At 37.0% G+C, this 17652-nt stretch overlaps 1 long non-coding RNA gene across 2 annotated transcripts in view; it reads right to left on the reverse strand.

Annotated features, from left to right (window-relative positions):
- The window catches only part of LOC105373831 (uncharacterized), a 279396-nt gene that overhangs the window by 81046 nt on the left and 180698 nt on the right, over nt 1-17652 (reverse strand). For both annotated transcript variants that reach the window (XR_923759.3, XR_923760.2), the window contains exon 2: nt 5667-5728. This is a non-coding gene — a long non-coding RNA (uncharacterized LOC105373831). The remainder of the gene's footprint in view (nt 1-5666; nt 5729-17652) is intronic.

Raw genomic sequence — 17652 nt, forward strand, 5'->3', positions numbered from 1 at the left:
GTAAAAATAATAATTATATTCCATTTCCTTAATTTAAAACATCATTTTTTTTTAACACAATAGGTTTTTTTGTTTGTTTGTTTGTTTTTTGAGGTGGACTCTTGCTCTGTTGCCCAGGCTGGAGTGCAATGGCATGATCTCAGCACACTGCAAACTCTGCCTCCTGGGTTCAAACTATCCTCCTGCCTCAGCCTCCCGAGTGGCTGGAACTACAGGTGTCTGTCATTACACCCGACTAATTTTTGTTTTTTTAGTAGACACAGAGCTTCACCATGTTGGCCAGGCTGGTCTCCAACTCCTGACTGCAAGTGATCTGCCTGATATTACTCAAACCCTCCACTCCTTTGGTTCTGTCAGGATCCTTGTCAATTTTATTTTTTTAAAGCCTACTAATTTTTGAAAAGTGATTATTTTCCTCAATAATTGCTCAAATTTTATTTAATTTTCCTCTCATCTTTTGATGTACATAAAACACTTAATTTTGAAAAGAACATAAGCTTAAGAAAAAGGACACAATCTTACTATGAAATAAGTATATGTCAAAGAGAAAAATGATGGCTCAGTATGTCAGTGAAGTATCTGATTTAGAAAGAAAATGCCACTATTTTCTTCTATGAATTCAGTCTTTAGCCAACATTTTTGAAAAAAATCTAAGTCTTCAAATTAAAAAAAATCCATACAATTGAGTTGAGCAAAGTCTTTTTTTTTAATGTGCCACATTTTTTTATTTTATTTTGTTTTATTTATTTATTATTATTATACTTTAAGTTTTAGGGTACATGTGCACAATGTGCAGGTTAGTTACATATGTATACATGTGCCATGCTGGTGTGCTGCACCCACTAACTCGTCATCTAGCATTAGGTATATCTCCCAGTGCTATCCCTCCCCCCTCCCCACACCCCACAACAGTCCCCGGTGTGTGATGTTCCCCTTCCTGTGTCCATGTGTTCTCATTGTTCAATTCCCACCTATGAGTGAGAATATGTGGTGTTTGGTTTTTTGTTCTTGTGATAGTTTACTGAGAATAATGATTTCCAACTTCATCCATGTCCCTACAAAGGACATGAACTCATCATTTTTTATGGCTGCATAGTATTCCATGGTGTATATGTGCCACATTTTCTTAATCCAGTCTATCATTGTTGGACATTTGTGTTGGTTCCAAGTCTTTGCTATTGTGAATAATGCCACAATAAACATACGCATGCATGTGTCTTTATAGCAGCATGATTTATAGTCCTTTGGGTATATACCCAGTAATGAGATGGCTGGGTCAAATGGTATTTCTAGTTCTAGATCTCTGAGGAATCGCCACACTGACTTCCACAATGGTTGAACTAGTTTACAGTCCCACCAACAGTGTAAAAGTGTTCCTATTTCTCCACATCCTCTCCAGCACCTGTTGTTTCCTGACTTTTTAATGATTGCCATTCTAACTGGTGTGAGATGGTATCTCACTGCGGTTTTGATTTGCATTTCTCTGATGGTCAGTGATGGTGAGCATTTTTTCAAACTATACTACAAGGCTACAGTAACCAAAACAGCATGGTACTGGTACCAAAACAGAGATATAGACCAATGGAACAGAACAGAGACCTCAGAAATAACGCCGCATATCTACAACTATCTGATCTTTGACAAACCTGAGAAAAACAAGCAATGGGGAAAGGAGTCCCTATTTAATAAATAGTGCTGGGAAAACTGGCTAGCCATATGTAGAAAGCTGAAACTGGATCGCTTCCTTACACCTTATACAAAAATCAATTCAAGATGGATTAAAGACTTAAACGTTAGACCTAAAACCATAAAAACCCTAGAAGAAAACCTAGGCATTACCATTCAGGACATAGGCATGGGCAAGGACATCATGTCTAAAACACCAAAAGCAATGGCAACAGAAGCCAAAATTGACAAATGGGATCTAATTAAACTAAAGAGCTTCTGCACAGCAAAAGAAACTACCATCAGAGTGAACAGGCAACCTACAAAATGGGAGAAAATTTTTGCAACCTACTCATCTGACAAAGGGCTAATATCCAGAATCTACAATGAACTCAAACAAATTTACAAGAAAAAAACAAACAACCCCATCAAAAAGTGGGCAAAGGACATGAACAGACACTTCTCAAAAGAAGACATTTATGCAGCCAAAAAACACATGAAAAAATGAGCAAAGTATTAATCTCTTCAATCTACAATGTATATATTTTTCTTCCTAATGCCAAAACATTTCCGTGAAAAAGTGAAACTAGCAACATGTAGCCAAAGCAACCAGGCAAGTTAATGATTTTTTTTTTCTCTCTACCAGGTTGATTTGGCACTTTGTAGACACTGCTAAGCCAGCTCATGTTAGTGCTTGAAGTAAAGTGTTTCAGAGTTTTGCTTAGTTGTTTTTCTCATTTTGATATAACTTTTGTTTTCTGGAAATCTTCAAGAAATTTGTTATCCAACACTAGTAAAACAACCTGTTGCATTTTAAAAGAAATCAAATATCATAACAAAAAAGAATAAATCAAATGTGAGAACAGCTATAAATTTTTAGAACATTTCAATCTTTCACTGCAACATAACATTCATTGTGATGATGACCATGAAAACAGAAAAAAGATTTTTAGATTCTGACATAAGAAAGAATTGGCTGTACAGATTACCTTTAAGACATAACTTTATGTGAAATCAAATTGCTGTGGTAATAAAGCTATAAAATGTTACTATTAAAATCCTTAATTTACGATCAATTTTAAACCAAAAAAGTACCTTAAACTATTTTTAAATAAGTTGCAAACATATATGAAACTTAAGGATACATCCACCATGCTTAAAATGGTGACAAATGTTCATTGACCTGGATATGCCATTGATTTTGACAATGAAGTTGGGGCACCTTGACAATAACCTGCAATTGAATTTATTTTCTGATCAGTGCCACAGTCAAATTGATCTGGCTCTGTAATGATTACTAACATTTTCAGCATATTCTTCCAGATTTCCATGTATTCTATGGCAGAAAAAGAGACAGTTTGAAGAGTTTCCCTTTAAACCATTGAAATTTTGGAATTCCTATTAAACATCTTGTCAGTGCACGTGCATCTCTGACACCACCAATCTCTTTCCAGCTCAGGATATTTCTCTGAAGATCTAGCTCTTACTTCTGAGTCAGAATTACATCAGAAATCCTCATGTTTCCTTAAGCCAGCAATAATGAATATGGATTATTAGGTATTAATTAATTTCATTATAATGGTAAATATGTTTCAAGTTTTGAACTAATCTTTTAATAATAATGTGAGTTTATTTAAGTCCTAAAAATTAATCTCCTTGCATTGTATTATCTCTGTGATAGTTAAGAGTCAGAGTGACTTTGGGACATTTTTTTTTTTTTTTGATATCCTTATCATCATGTTCCCTTTTAAACCAGTTCCAGATTTCCACTTTACTTACCTCTCCTCCTGAAAGTGCTGTCCACAGTAACCTAGACACACAATCCAAGATAAAGTGATATGATCTTCTTGCCTTGGTGTTTGAAATCTTTCGGAACATGAGAGTGAATGCTGGGGGATTTTTTTCCCCCAGTTTCAATTTCCTACATAATAATATATTCATCAAGGAAAAAGTTTTAAAATATTGTAAATGTACTCTGAGTGAGATATTGATCTAGACACAAGACAAGTAATTTCTACCATCTAATGGAGGTAGAGTGGGGAGGTGGTGTATTTCTTTATTATGGTGGTGTTACAGAATTATCCAAGGTGCCAATTTAAACTGACCCATGGAAGAGTACTCTCTGGGTTGGAGTCAGAAAATCTGCATTTGTAATATCCTGCACTGGTGTTTATATACACAATGACATTTAAGAACAACTGCATGTTTACCTGATGTGTAAGGGCATGAGTTCTGAGTTCATTTCAGCGTGAGTGGTTCCTACTTGGTGGGTAGTTTTCCTTTCTTCAGGGATATATGGATTCAGGTTCCTCCCTGAATCCATATATCCATTTGTGATCTCTGTATCCTTGGGGGCCCTAGACTCCTCTGCTGTCAGATGGAGGATAGGGAGAAAGATAATGATTAATGCAGACTCACTTGTTAAAAACCTGGGTCTGGAAGTAACACTCTTCATTTCTGCTCATAGTCTATTGGCAAGATATAGTCTCATGGCCATATCTGAAGGCATAAGAGCCTGGGAGATGCAGTCTTTGTCTAGACAGTTAATTTTTTTTTGTAGCAACAACTATATTCTCTGGAAAGTGGAACACAACTATCTTGTGTATTGTTTATCTCCAACACAGCAGTCACTTTAGTGGCCTTGAACTTGGCAATGGTTTCTTAGATATGACATGTACAAGCAGCAACAGAAAAATATAGATTCATGAGATAGATAATAAATATCCTTGTGATGGTTAATTTTAGGGATCATCTTGACTGGGTTAAGGGATATGCAGATAGCTAGTACAGAATGTTTTCTGGGTATGTCTGTGAGCATGTTTACAGAAGAGATTGATATTTGAACCAGTGGACTAAGTAAGGAAGATCGGCCCTCACCCAATGTGAGGGGCCCCATCCAATTGGTTGAGGTACCAGATAGACCAAAAAGGCAAAGGAAAACAAATTCATTCTCTCTTCTGGAGCTGGGAAACCCATTTTTTTCCTGCCCTTGGACATCAGAGCTCCAGATTCTTGGGCCTTTAGACTTCAGCACATAGACCAGCATGCCCCCACCCACCTGTTCTCAGGCTTTCAGCCTCAGACTGAGCTATACCACTGGCTTCCTGGTGCTCCAGCTTGAGTATGGCACATCGGGGGACTTACAAGGGTGTGAGAAAGCTTCCATAATTAATCACTCTTAGATACCTATATTTATATCTCTATCTATATACTCTGGCTGCTAGTTCTATTCCTCTGGAGAGCCCTGTTTTTCTGGTTCTATTTCTCTGGAGAACCTTAACTAATATTGCTCTGAATGACTGCTGTATGATCAAATGATACAGCACAGGAAACTATAATATTCATGTCACTAGACAACTGCACAATATTATTTCTGATGTTAAAATAGATCCTATTTATATCTTTATTAAACAGTTCTTTATGTATTAATATAACTAACTAGTGATTAGTGATACATTTCTAATTCCAAAGGTAGTACAAATACCTTTCCAGGAATAATTTTCCATGGCATAGTATGACAGCAAATAGATTGTTTTTCCACAGTACTTATTTTCAAAAAGAAGATGAACAGAAAGTCTCAAAGGCTTGATTCTTGTCACAGTGAAAGCAAAACAATCTATCATAGAATTTATGAAAGGAATTTTGCACAAGGAAATAGACTCATTTTTGGCCTTGAGAAACCCATAGGCTGCTCATGACACGCAAATAATTTTTGTGTTTTCCTAAAGATAATTAATAGGATTAAACCTTTTTCATTACCTTGTTGGAAACAAAAGAGCCAAATATATTCCACTTAATGAGAATTTTTCTTCCAGGCACAGAACACCTGGTCTGAACTGTGGGAAGATACTGCTATTCAAAGATGTTAAAAAGCATCCTTCTCTGAGATACATTGAAAAAATTATATCAGGGAAAAATAAGACACATATAAACTGACTAACATCAGGGTGTACCTATTTATTTAGTGGGCGATCAGTACCATTAAGTTAAACTAAGTTTACCTTAGAATGTTACGTATATGGCGGCAGAATGAACCTGCAACTTCAAAGTCTTCACAAAAGACCTGTTAAAACAGGAAAAAATACATTAAAGCAAAAATAAAGTTTTAAAAATTGAATACAAAAACACTAATTGGTCTGTCATGTGCCTACAGTCAACCCTAGGAATTTTGGTTGGTAGGTAGCCATGAAAACAACAACAATGACAATCACAAGACAAATGGCATTGATTGAATGCTTCTTATTTTTTAGATATTATTCTAGGTTAAATTCTCATGTTTTCTTCTAAGAGCTTTACAGTTCTAGTTCTAACATTAGGTCTTTGATCCATCTTGTGTTAGTTTTCATATATGGTGTAAGGTAAGACTTCATTCTTTTGCATGTGGAATACAAAATCTCATTTATCCAAGCAGGAGTTGTACAAGGGAGTTATTTATCTTGGGTCAGTTTCTCTAGAGCAGATCCTGAGGTGAGGATTTGTGTTAAAGCATTTTATTAAGGTACCGCCCTGGGAGAAGCCAGAAGGGAATGGGGGATGTAGAACAGGGAAAGGAAAAAGGCAAGCAGGGTACAGTTTCTGGTGATGCTCTAGCCCTGGTCTCATTCTTTGGGAGAACTGTGGAGGGCAAATTACAGCTTGGATCTTGTCCTCATAAGGTAGAGGTTTCCATATCCCTAGGGGGTAATGTAATTCCCAGTCACTTCCAGCTTTCTGCCCAGGCAGGAAAAATGGTTCTAGTGACTCAAGGGAAGTCTTTCAAAGGGAGATTCAGATGCAGGCTGTTTGAAGCAAATGCCAAAGGAGCTGAGGAAAGGAGTGTCCATGAAAAAAGTCTGAGGGAATGTGGACCAGAGTCCCAGTGTGTTCACTTCTGTTTCGCTCACTTCACTTAACAGATTAAAAAAAAAATAGAAGCTAGAAGAGTGGAATAACTTTCGCTAGTTGACATGATTAATAAATAGGAAAGCTAAGAATAAGTCTAGATCTAGGACTCCAAATCTTTTGCTTTGGAGAGTTATTGGACCTGTGGGAAGAATATGGTAAGTGGACTGTGGCAGAGATGAGCAGTTCAAATGGGATAAGCACATACTTATCAATGGGACATCATTAAGAGTCCTTCCTTCCATACTCTCCAAAAGCCTGCTGTGGGGTGATAAAGACATGAATTGGAAGAGGCATGAGAATAAAGGGAGTGGTAATTTTTTAAATGTCTGTGTTCTCTCAAAATGGTGCTGGGACAATGGTTATCCACATGACAACAAAAAAAAAAAAAAAGAAGAAGAAGAAGAAGTTGGATCCACTACTATGTATAAAAATTAAAAATGGCCAAAGACGTAAATGTAAGCACTGAAACTATAAAACTCTTAGAAGAAAGCATAGGTGTAAACTATTTGTGGCCTTGAATTTGGCAATGGTTTCTTAGATATGACATGCACAAGCAGCAACAGAAAAAAATAGATTCATTGGATTTCATAAAAATAAACCTTTTATGCTTCAAAGGATACTATCAAGAAATTAAAAAGACAACCCAACAAATGAGAGAAAATAACTTACATCTAGAATATATATGTATACACCTATGTAATACATCATATATCTTATACATTCATATATGAATATAAATATAAAATAATTACAATTCAATAATTAAAAGACAACATATTACAAATAAAAACTACTATATAGAAAAAGGGTCTGTGATATGGTTTGGCTGTGTCCCCCACGTGTCAAGGGTGGGACGAGGTGGAGGTAACTGGATCATGGGGTCGGTTTCCTCCATGCTGTTCTCATGATAATGATTGAGTCTCATGAGATATTATTGTTTTATAAACGTCTGGCATTTCCCCTGCTTGCACTGACTCTGTCCTACCACCCTGTGAAGAAGGTGCCTTCATCTACTTTGCCTTCCACCGGATTATAAGTTTTTTGAGGCCTCCCCACCAATGAGGAACTGTGAGTCAATTAAATCTCTTTCCTTTATAAGTTACCCAGTCTCAGATATTTCTATATAGCAGTGTAAGAATGGACTAATACAGTCTGAATGGACATTTCTTCAAAGATGATACAAAAATGGCCCATGCACATATAAAAAGATGCTCAAGAATGTTGAATGTTGGCCCCCACTCTCTTCTGGCTTGTAGGGTTTCTGCCGAGAGATCCACTGTTAGTCTGATGGGCTTCCCTTTGAGGGTAACCCGACCTTTCTCTCTGGCTGCCCTTAACATTTTTTCCTTCATTTCAACTTTGGTGAATCTGACAATTATGTGTCTTGGAGTTGCTCTTCTCGAGGAGTATCTCTGTGGTGTTCTCTGTATTTCCTGAATCTGAACGTGAATTTCATATCCAGCCAAACTAAGCTTCATAAGTGAAGGAGAAATAAAATACTTTACAGACAAGCAAATGTTGAGAGATTTTGTCACCACCAGGCCTGCCCTAAAAGAGCCCCTGAAGGAAGCACTAAACATGGAAAGGAACAACCGGTACCAGCCGCTGCAAAATCATGCCAAAATATAAAGACCATCGAGACTAGGAAGAAACTGCATCAACTAACAAGCAAAATCACCAGCTAACATCATAATGACAGGATCAAATTCACACATAACAATATTAACTTTAAATGTCAATGGACTAAATGCTCCAATTAAAAGACACAGACTGGCAAGTTGGATAAGGAGTCAAGACCCATCAGTGTGCTGTATTCAGGAAACCCATCTCAAGTGCAGAGACACACACAGGCTCAAAATAAAGGGATGGAGGAAGATCTACCAAGCAAATGGAAAACAAAAAAAGGCAGGGGTTGCAATCCTAGTCTCTGATAAAACAGACTTTAAACCAACAGAGATAAAAAGAGACAGAGAAGGCCATTACATAATGGTAAAGGGATCAATTCAACAAGAAGAGCTAACTATCCTAAATATATATGCACCCAATACAGGAGCACCCAGATTCATAAAGCAAGTCCTGAGTGACCTACAAAGAGACTTAGACTCCCACACATTAATAATGGGAGACTTTAACACCCCACTGTCAACATTAGACAGATCAACGTGACAGAAAGTCAACAAGGATACCCAGGAATTGAACTCAGCTCTGCACCAAGCAGACCTAATAGACATCTACAGAACTCTCCACCCCAAATCAACAAAATATACATTTTTTTCAGCACCACACCACACCTGTTCCAAAATTGACCACATACTTGGAAGTAAAGCTCTCCTCAGCAAATGTAAAAGAACAGAGATTATAACAAACTATCTCTCAGACCACAGTGCAATCAAACTAGAACTCAGGATTAAGAATCTCACTCAAAACCGCTCAACTACATGGAAACTGAACAACCTGCTCCTGAATGACTACTGGATACATAACGAAATGAAGGCAGAAATAAAGATGTTCTTTGAAACCAATGAGAACAAAGACACAACATACCAGAATCTCTGGGACGCATTCAAAGCAGTGTGTAGAGGGAAATTTATAGCACTAAATGCCCACAAGAGAAAGCAGGAAAGATACAAAATTGACACCCTAACATCACAATTAAAAGAACTAGAAAAGCAAGAGCAAACACATTCAAAAGCTAGCAGAAGGCAAGAAATAACTAAAATCAGAGCAGAACTGAAGGAAATAGAGACACAAAAAACCCTCCAAAAAATTAATGAATCCAGGAGCTGGTTTTTTGAAAGGATCAACAAAACTGATAGACCGCTAGCAAGACTAATAAAGAAAAAAAGAGAGAAGAATCAAATAGACACAATAAAAAATGATAAAGGGGATATCACCACCGATCCCACAGAAACACAAACTACCATCAGAGAATACTACAAACACCTCTACGCAAATAAACTAGAAAATCTAGAAGAAATGGATAAATTCCTCGACACATACACTCTCCCAAGACTAAACCAGGAAGAAGTTGAATCTCTGAATAGACCAATAACAGGACCTGAAATTGTGGCAATAATCAATAGTTTACCAACCAAAAAGAGTCCAGGACCAGATGGATTCACAGCCGAATTCTACCAGAGGTACAAGGAGGAACTGGTACCATTCCTTCTGAAATTATTCCAATCATTAGAAAAAGAGGGAATCCTCCCTAACTCATTTTATGAGGCCAGCATCATTCTGATACCAAAGCCGGGCAGAGACACAACCAAAAAAGAGAATTTTAGACCAATATCCTTGATGAACATTGATGCAAAAATCCTCAATAAAATTCTGGCAAAACGAATCCAGCAGCACATCAAAAAGCTTATCCACCATGATCAAGTGGGCTTCATCCCTGGGATGCAAGGCTGGTTCAATATACGCAAATCAATAAATGTAATCCAGCATATAAACAGAGCCAAAGACAAAAACCACATGATTATCTCAATAGATGCAGAAAAAGCCTTTGACAAAATTCAACAACCCTTCATGCTAAAAACTCTCAATAAATTAGGTATTGATGGGACGTATTTCAAAATAATAAGAGCTATCTATGACAAACCCACAGCCAATATCATACTGAATGGGCAAAAACTGGAAGCATTCCCTTTGAAAACTGGCACAAGACAGGGATGCCCTCTCTCACCACTCCTATTCAACATAGTGTTGGAAGTTCTGGCCAGGGCAATTAGGCAGGAGAAGGAAATAAAGGGTATTCAATTAGGAAAAGAGGAAGTCAAATTGTCCCTGTTTGCAGATGACATGATTGTATATCTGGAAAACCCCATTGTCTCAGCCCAAAATCTCCTTAAGCTGATAAGCAACTTCAGCAAAGTCTCAGGATACAAAATCAATGTGCAAAAATCACAAGCATTCCTATACACCAATAATAGACAGAGAGCCAAATCATGAGTGAACTCCCATTCACAATTGCTTCAAAGAGAATAAAATACCTAGGAATCCAACTCACAAGGGATGTGAAGGACCTCTTCAAGGAGAACTACAAACCACTGCTCAAGGAAATAAAAGAGGATACAAACAAATGGAAGAACATTCCATGCTCATGGGTAGGAAGAATCAATATCATGAAAATGGCCATACTGCCCAAGGTAATTTACAGATTCAATGCCATCCCCATAAAGCTACCAATGACTTTCTTCACAGAATTGGAAAAAACTACTTTAAAGTTCATATGGAACCAAAAAAGAGCCTGCATCGCCAAGGCAATCCTAAGCCAAAAGAACAAAGCTGGAGGCATCACACTACCTGACTTCAAACTATACTACAAGGCTACAGTAACCAAAACAGCATGGTCCTGGTACCAAAACAGAGATATAGATCAACGGAACAGAACAGAGCCCTCAGAAATAATGCCGCATATCTACAACTATCTGATCTTTGACAAACCTGAGAAAAACAAGCAATGGGGAAAGGATTCCCTATTTAATAAATGGTGCTGGGAAAACTGGCTAGCCATATGTAGAAAGCTGAAACTGGATCCCTTCCTTACACCTTATACAAAAATCAATTCAAGATAGATTAAAGACTTAAACGTTAGACCTAAAACCATAAAAACCCTAGAAGAAAACCTAGGCATTACCATTCAGGACATAGGCATGGGCAAGGACTTCATGTCCAAAACACCAAAAGCAATGGCAACAAAAGACAAAATTGACAAATGGGATCTAATTAAACTAAAGAGCTTCTGCACAGCAAAAGAAACTACCATCAGAGTGAACAGGCAACCTACAGAATGGGAGAAAATTTTTGCAACCTACTCATCTGACAAAGGGCTAATATCCAGAATCTACAATGAACTCAAACAAATTTACAAGAAAAAAACAAACAACCCCATCAAAAAGTGGGCGAAGGACATGAACAGACACTTCTCAAAAGAAGACATTTATGCAGCCAAAAGACACATGAAAAAATGCTCATCATCACTGGCCATCAGAGAAATGCAAATCAAAACCACAATGAGATACCATCTCACACCAGTTAGAATGGCAATCATTAAAAAGTCAGGAAACAACAGGTGCTGGAGAGGATGTGGAGAAATAGGAACACTTTTACACTGTTGGTGGGACTATAAACTAGTTCAACCATTGTGGAAGTCAGTGTGGCGATTCCTCAGGGATCTAGAACTAGAAATACCATTTGACCCAGCCATCCCATTACTGGGTATATACCCAAAGGACTATAAATCATGCTGCTATAAAGACACATGCACACGTATGTTTATTGCAGCATTATTCACAATAGCAAAGACTTGGAACCAACACAAATGTCCAACAATGATAGACTGGATTAAGAAAATGTGGCACATATACACCATGGAATACTATGCAGCCATAAAAAATGATGAGTTCATGTCCTTTGTAGGGACATGGATGAAATTGGAAATCATCATTCTCAGTAAACTATCACAAGAACAAAAAACCAAACACCACATATTCTCACTCATAGGTGGGAATTGAACAATGAGATCACATGGACACAGGAAGGGGAATATCACACTCTGGGGACTGTGGTGGTGTGGGGGGAGGGGGGAGGGATAGCATTGGGAGATATACCTACTGCTAGATGACGAGTTAGTGGGTGCAGCGCACCAGCATGGCACATGTATACATATGTAACTAACCTGCACAATGTGCACATGTACCCTAAAACTTAAAGTATAATAAATAAATAAATAAATAAAATAAAATAAAAATAAAAAGATGCTCAAGATCATTAGGTATCAGAGAAATGCAAGTCAAAGCCACACTCTCTAGAATGGCTTTAATAAAATATACATATAGATAATAACCAGAGTTCGAAAGGATGTGGAAAAATCAGAACCCTCATCCACTGCTGGTAGCAATGTAAAATGGTGCAGCTACTGTCTGGCAGTTCCTCATAAAACTAAACACAGTTTTTTTGGTTTCGACCCAGCCATTCTACTCCCAGGTATATATTCAAGAGAAGTGAAAACAAGTGACCAAACAACAACCTGTACACAAATGTTCACAGAAGCAGTATTAATAACCAAGTGTCCATTGGTGGATAAAATTGAGTATGTCCATAAATTGAATATTATTAAGCCACAAAAATGAAGTCCTGAAACATGCTACAAAATGGATGAACCTTGAAAACATTATGCTCAGTGAAAGAAGACCACATATAATATGATTCCATTTATATGAAATATACGGAGTAGGTGAATCTACAGAGAAAGTAAATTGGTGTTTGCCTTGGGCTAGGGGAAGGGGAGGATTGGCTAATGGCAACCAAAGAGCAATGTATTTCTTTTTGGGGTGACAAAAGATGTTCTAAAACTGATTGTGGTGATTGTTGTACAATGCTGTGAATATGCCATAAGTCTTTGAATTATATACTCTAAATGAATGAATTGTATGTTATATGAATTATATCTCAATAAAATTGCAATATAAAAAAACTTCTATGCCCTAATATTAATTGAAATAATTCTGTGGGTAAACATTCAGCCTAAAATTTGCAAAGCAAAGCATTTATACAGGGCCATGCTGGCAGGGGTTTTTATGGTCATCTTGGCTACTTCACAGCTTCAAGTGTGAACTTTCTAAACAGAGCTGGTATCGGGTTGTGGAAATGCTCATTGAGAACAGTCACCAAACAACAGCTGTTCCAGAGCAGACCCTGCCTCATCCATGATAACTGCATGTGCTGCCCACTTTGTGGGACAAAGTGAATCCTGGAAGCTGAGTATTTGAAAGAGCTTGTTGGCCCTCTCTGTTCCTACAACCAATGCATGGACTGGAGGCAGTCAGTGGGGGCCTTGTCTGAGCTGCTCTTGGAGTTGTGTGAGACGCAGTGCACGTCGCTCCCTCAGTGGCCTCCAGATTGAAGACGGTTTCTTGCGAAATCAGCAGGGTGGGCAGCTGAAGAGTGTGTGAATATTGTGCATTTGTAAATATTTGAGCACATCTGCTTAGCTCCCTCCCAAAAAACCACTGGGAAAACCCGCTTTGCATTGTGCCATGCAATGCTGTTACCCTGTTCTAATTGTCAAATCTGTTGAGTGTTTTTCTCCCGCACACAAAAATTAAACATTGCTCTCCTCATTCATGATTAATTCAGCTGCAGTGCTGCACTGTGTCACACTGCATTTTTTAAAGTAATTGTTAAATTCTACCTCATAATCAGAGCAGTTTTAATTAACTTTTTGTCAGTTAATCTTTTTTCCTCATACATTTTCCATGTCTAGTGTGTATACAGTGTGTCTCTGCCCAGGGGTTTGCAGCCCCTCGATATGAATGCTTAAGCTCTGTCGGTGCTGATGGGTGTGCCATGTGCCCATGCAGAGAGGAGGCCTCCTAGGCTCATTCTGCTCAGCTTTCTTAGGGCTAGCTGGTCATAACATTTGCATTAACGAGATCCGCCACAGTGAACTTATTTACAGGCTTCAAAGTTCAGGCTTTCTTTTCTCTTCCTCCTAGAACGTGTTTCCTGTGTCTAGGAGCGATATGGCACATAATAGAAGTAAGAAAGGTGGACATATAGGGCACGGGGAATGATATCCAAATGGAATGTAGAACAAACCTTGACTCTTGCTTGCAGAGCTAGCCTGTACTCAGCATACTTCCTTCAGCATCTCTGACCTTGGCAAGATTACCAAAGTCACATTTTCACATGTTTGAACTTGTTTTTGCATAGTTCGTCCACCAACTCAATGCACTCTTTCAACTTACATCTTTACTCATTCACATTTTTTACTTCTCAGATAGATAGATAGTATTTCTCATGTGTACGTAACAAAGAAAATCCAATTCCATATTAAACTGTGCACGTCCGTGTTCTTTTCTTTCTCACAAGTTGTCTGTGTTTAAAAGCAATAATGTGTAGCTTTTCTAAAAGTTTTAAAATGGTCACATCTGTCTGATAGTGCCACTACTGCTACTTCTAGCAAAAGCAGCCACTTTTGGGTATTTATAGGACATATTTTTCAGGATATCACATCAGTTTTCCAGTGTTAAAAAGCATAAGATTGAGGAAGTAGGAGCTGATAATTCCCTATTTTAGAATCTGATGCTAAAATGCTGAGAGATTAAATAAACACACCAGATGCTCAAATTGCCAGTTAAGTTATTTAAACACAGTGTGGCCCAAACCCTAGAAAAGGGAATACATTCACTCCACGAACACTTGTGCGGAGGTGTCGCCATATTGAATTTGTTAATTAACCTGTTCTATCCAGAATTTATCTTAAGGATTAAATGCTATTCAAATACAAATTGTGCTAGAGGTTCCTACTAAAGAATTACATTTAAAAGTACCTCTAAAACAAACTGCTTTCTAAATAAAATGTTTTGACTTCCAAAAGATTAACAGTGTGTGGGCTCCAGAGTCTGTATTCAAATCTTAAATATGTCATTTACAAAGTAAGTGGGCAGGCAAGTATCTTTACCTCAGTCCTGTTTTCCTCATCTGTAAAATGGGGATAATACTATTTCCTATCATCATACAGCTTTTATAATGATGAAAAGACATGATTCTAATATACTTAGCACAGTGTATGTTCTCAATAAAATGGTGAAATGATGGCTTGCCTTTTTCTCTGTGCCTGATATCAGAGTATCTATATCACTCTGTATACAGAGCACAGTGGGCCCAAGTACTTGTCACAGCATTCATCATGGTCAGTCCTGTCTCTGTCTCACAGGAGCAAGCTCCACCCTGTGAGCTCAAGCTCCTGGAGAGTTTCGCATCTTGTTTAATTTGTGTCTCCTATAGTCCTAACACAACATCTGTGTTATGTGAACGTTCAAAAGGTTATTGCTGAATCATAATTGAATCCTCCTTTTTGTTCTTTTACTCAGTCAACAATATTTAGAACACTCTATAGCTGAAAGATTAATAAGGCTTAATTCCTGTCCTCAAATCATTCGGAATTGAGTGAGGAGTGATCTGTATATAGACCGGTAATTACAGAACTTCATGGAATATGATTGGCTTCCTGCAGCTGCAAAAGGCTTTACTGAAAAAAACAACATGTATCTGGGCCTTGAAAGAGCAAAGGTTTTACCCAGATTGAGTCTGAGGGTAGGTCACTTAAGACAACCTGAGTAGAGTGTATATGAAAAGGGGCAGAATCATGAAACAGAGCATGTTCAGGAAATTGTGGGAGTGGTGTGTGAGCAGATTCTAGTACATAGGAAGATCAATACCAAAAGTTTGTAGCAAATATCACACTCTCATCCTATGAGCCCATTCCTATCATCTATACATGCTAAAAATCTACAGAATCCTTGGACTTGGGTGGACAGGCAGCTGTGGTGACTGCAGAAGACAGGGAGGTGGGAAAAACACAAAATAGGTGCAAAAGTTCCTGGCGAATGCCTCAGGGGTGATTAGAGTAGGAAGTAGTACGAATAGAAAAGGAGTGAATTTAAAGAGTTAGAGGAAACCGAGCGAGGCTGGCTATGGAACAGTCCAGAGATAACTTTGTCATTTGTTATCCATTAAAAAAACCATTTATATTTCCCTTATTTAATCTTTTTGTTGTGTATATGTGGGTGGAAATGAACTTTAATTCTGTTCTGTATTTTGTGCTTTTTAAGAATTCTTATTTCCTCTTTGTTTTCAAGTACAAAGTGGAATGGTTCTAATCCAGTTTTGATTTGTCAAGTATGATGGGAGAATAGATGTCACAGGAATGTGTCCAAATTTACTTTATTTTTGAAATCCCATAAATATGTTGTTTAGAATTATTACCCAAGGGTATTAATTTTTACCTAGGAGTGTTTTATAATTCCACTCACAATTTGTGAGTCCTCATGGAAATTGTGCTGAGGTAGCAACCTTATTAATACAAAATTCTTGCATTTATATACTTTAATTTATAATAATTTCTAAATTTCTAATTTAAAATATATATTAAAAGAGGCTACAATAAAACTATCATAGCCATTAAATCAATACTCAAGAATATATGAATTTCTGGAAATTCCTCATGGTGATAAGAGCATTTATTTCCTGTTGATAGAGATAGGAAAATACATTAAAGGCTTACTTTTCATATTTAATTTCAAATAAATATAACTGTGCCATGAAATATCAAATAATTTTGGAATTGTATTTTTAACCAAAAATAAAAGACCAGTAAATTTTAGACTGTTAAATTTGGACAGTATTTTGGCATGAACATTCTTCAGATTTCAGGTAATATAAAGACAAACACAGATAAAGTAGAGTTCACTGGTATTTATTGTTTATTGTATGTAAGCATTCATACTGTGCCCCTTTAAAATCTACTTTTCAATGTTAGAACTCTATAATCTAACTTTATTTAAATTTTCTAAGCTTATCATACGAATCATTTCATTATAATTACAAAATGAATAAAATTTTGCTAGGTTTGTGGAAGACTTCGGATCATGGACATATGTGATTTGACTACAAACTCAATAAAATTACTGACTACTAAGAAGGGATCCCTTAGGACATCTTTTTAGAATTGAAAGCCCATAATGTTAAAATGTATTTTGTAATTGGGTATTTCCAAACTAATATCAAATAGCAAGTCTTTAATTAGTGTGGATAAAATTAAAATTTACTTACAGAGAATTAAACTGGAATTTGAAGTTCTCATCATAAACCAGTATGAAGTGGAGAAATTCAATTTCACAGCCTCTTTTCTTTCATAACATATAATAACTTTTATTTTTCATTGTTATTTCACATAACAGATCGTTTTAGAGCAAACTTTGTGAAGAATCCTAAAAGCGCGTAACTATCTTTTACATAAAAATGCTTTAGAGTAAAGAGATCTCAGTTTGGAATCCGGGTCTTATACATTCAAAATGGCTGAGTTTTTGGGCAGTAAATGGCACTTTTAATATGTCCTAAACTTCAGAATGTAACCTCCATTTACCCTGTAGACAAGTAAAGCAATGACAAAATGCCAGATTTCTAAAGCAAAAAACAAAAAATCCACTTCTTTTAGTATTAATTAAAAGTGTGTGAGCCATTACTATCTAAAAGTGTCAGCTGGGATTAGAACAAAGAATCAACAAAAATAACGCAGCTATGGTAAGGAGAGAA

The sequence above is a fragment of the Homo sapiens genome, chromosome 2 (genome assembly GCF_000001405.40).
Source record: "Homo sapiens chromosome 2, GRCh38.p14 Primary Assembly".
In the NCBI taxonomy this organism is placed as follows: domain Eukaryota; kingdom Metazoa; phylum Chordata; class Mammalia; order Primates; family Hominidae; genus Homo; species Homo sapiens.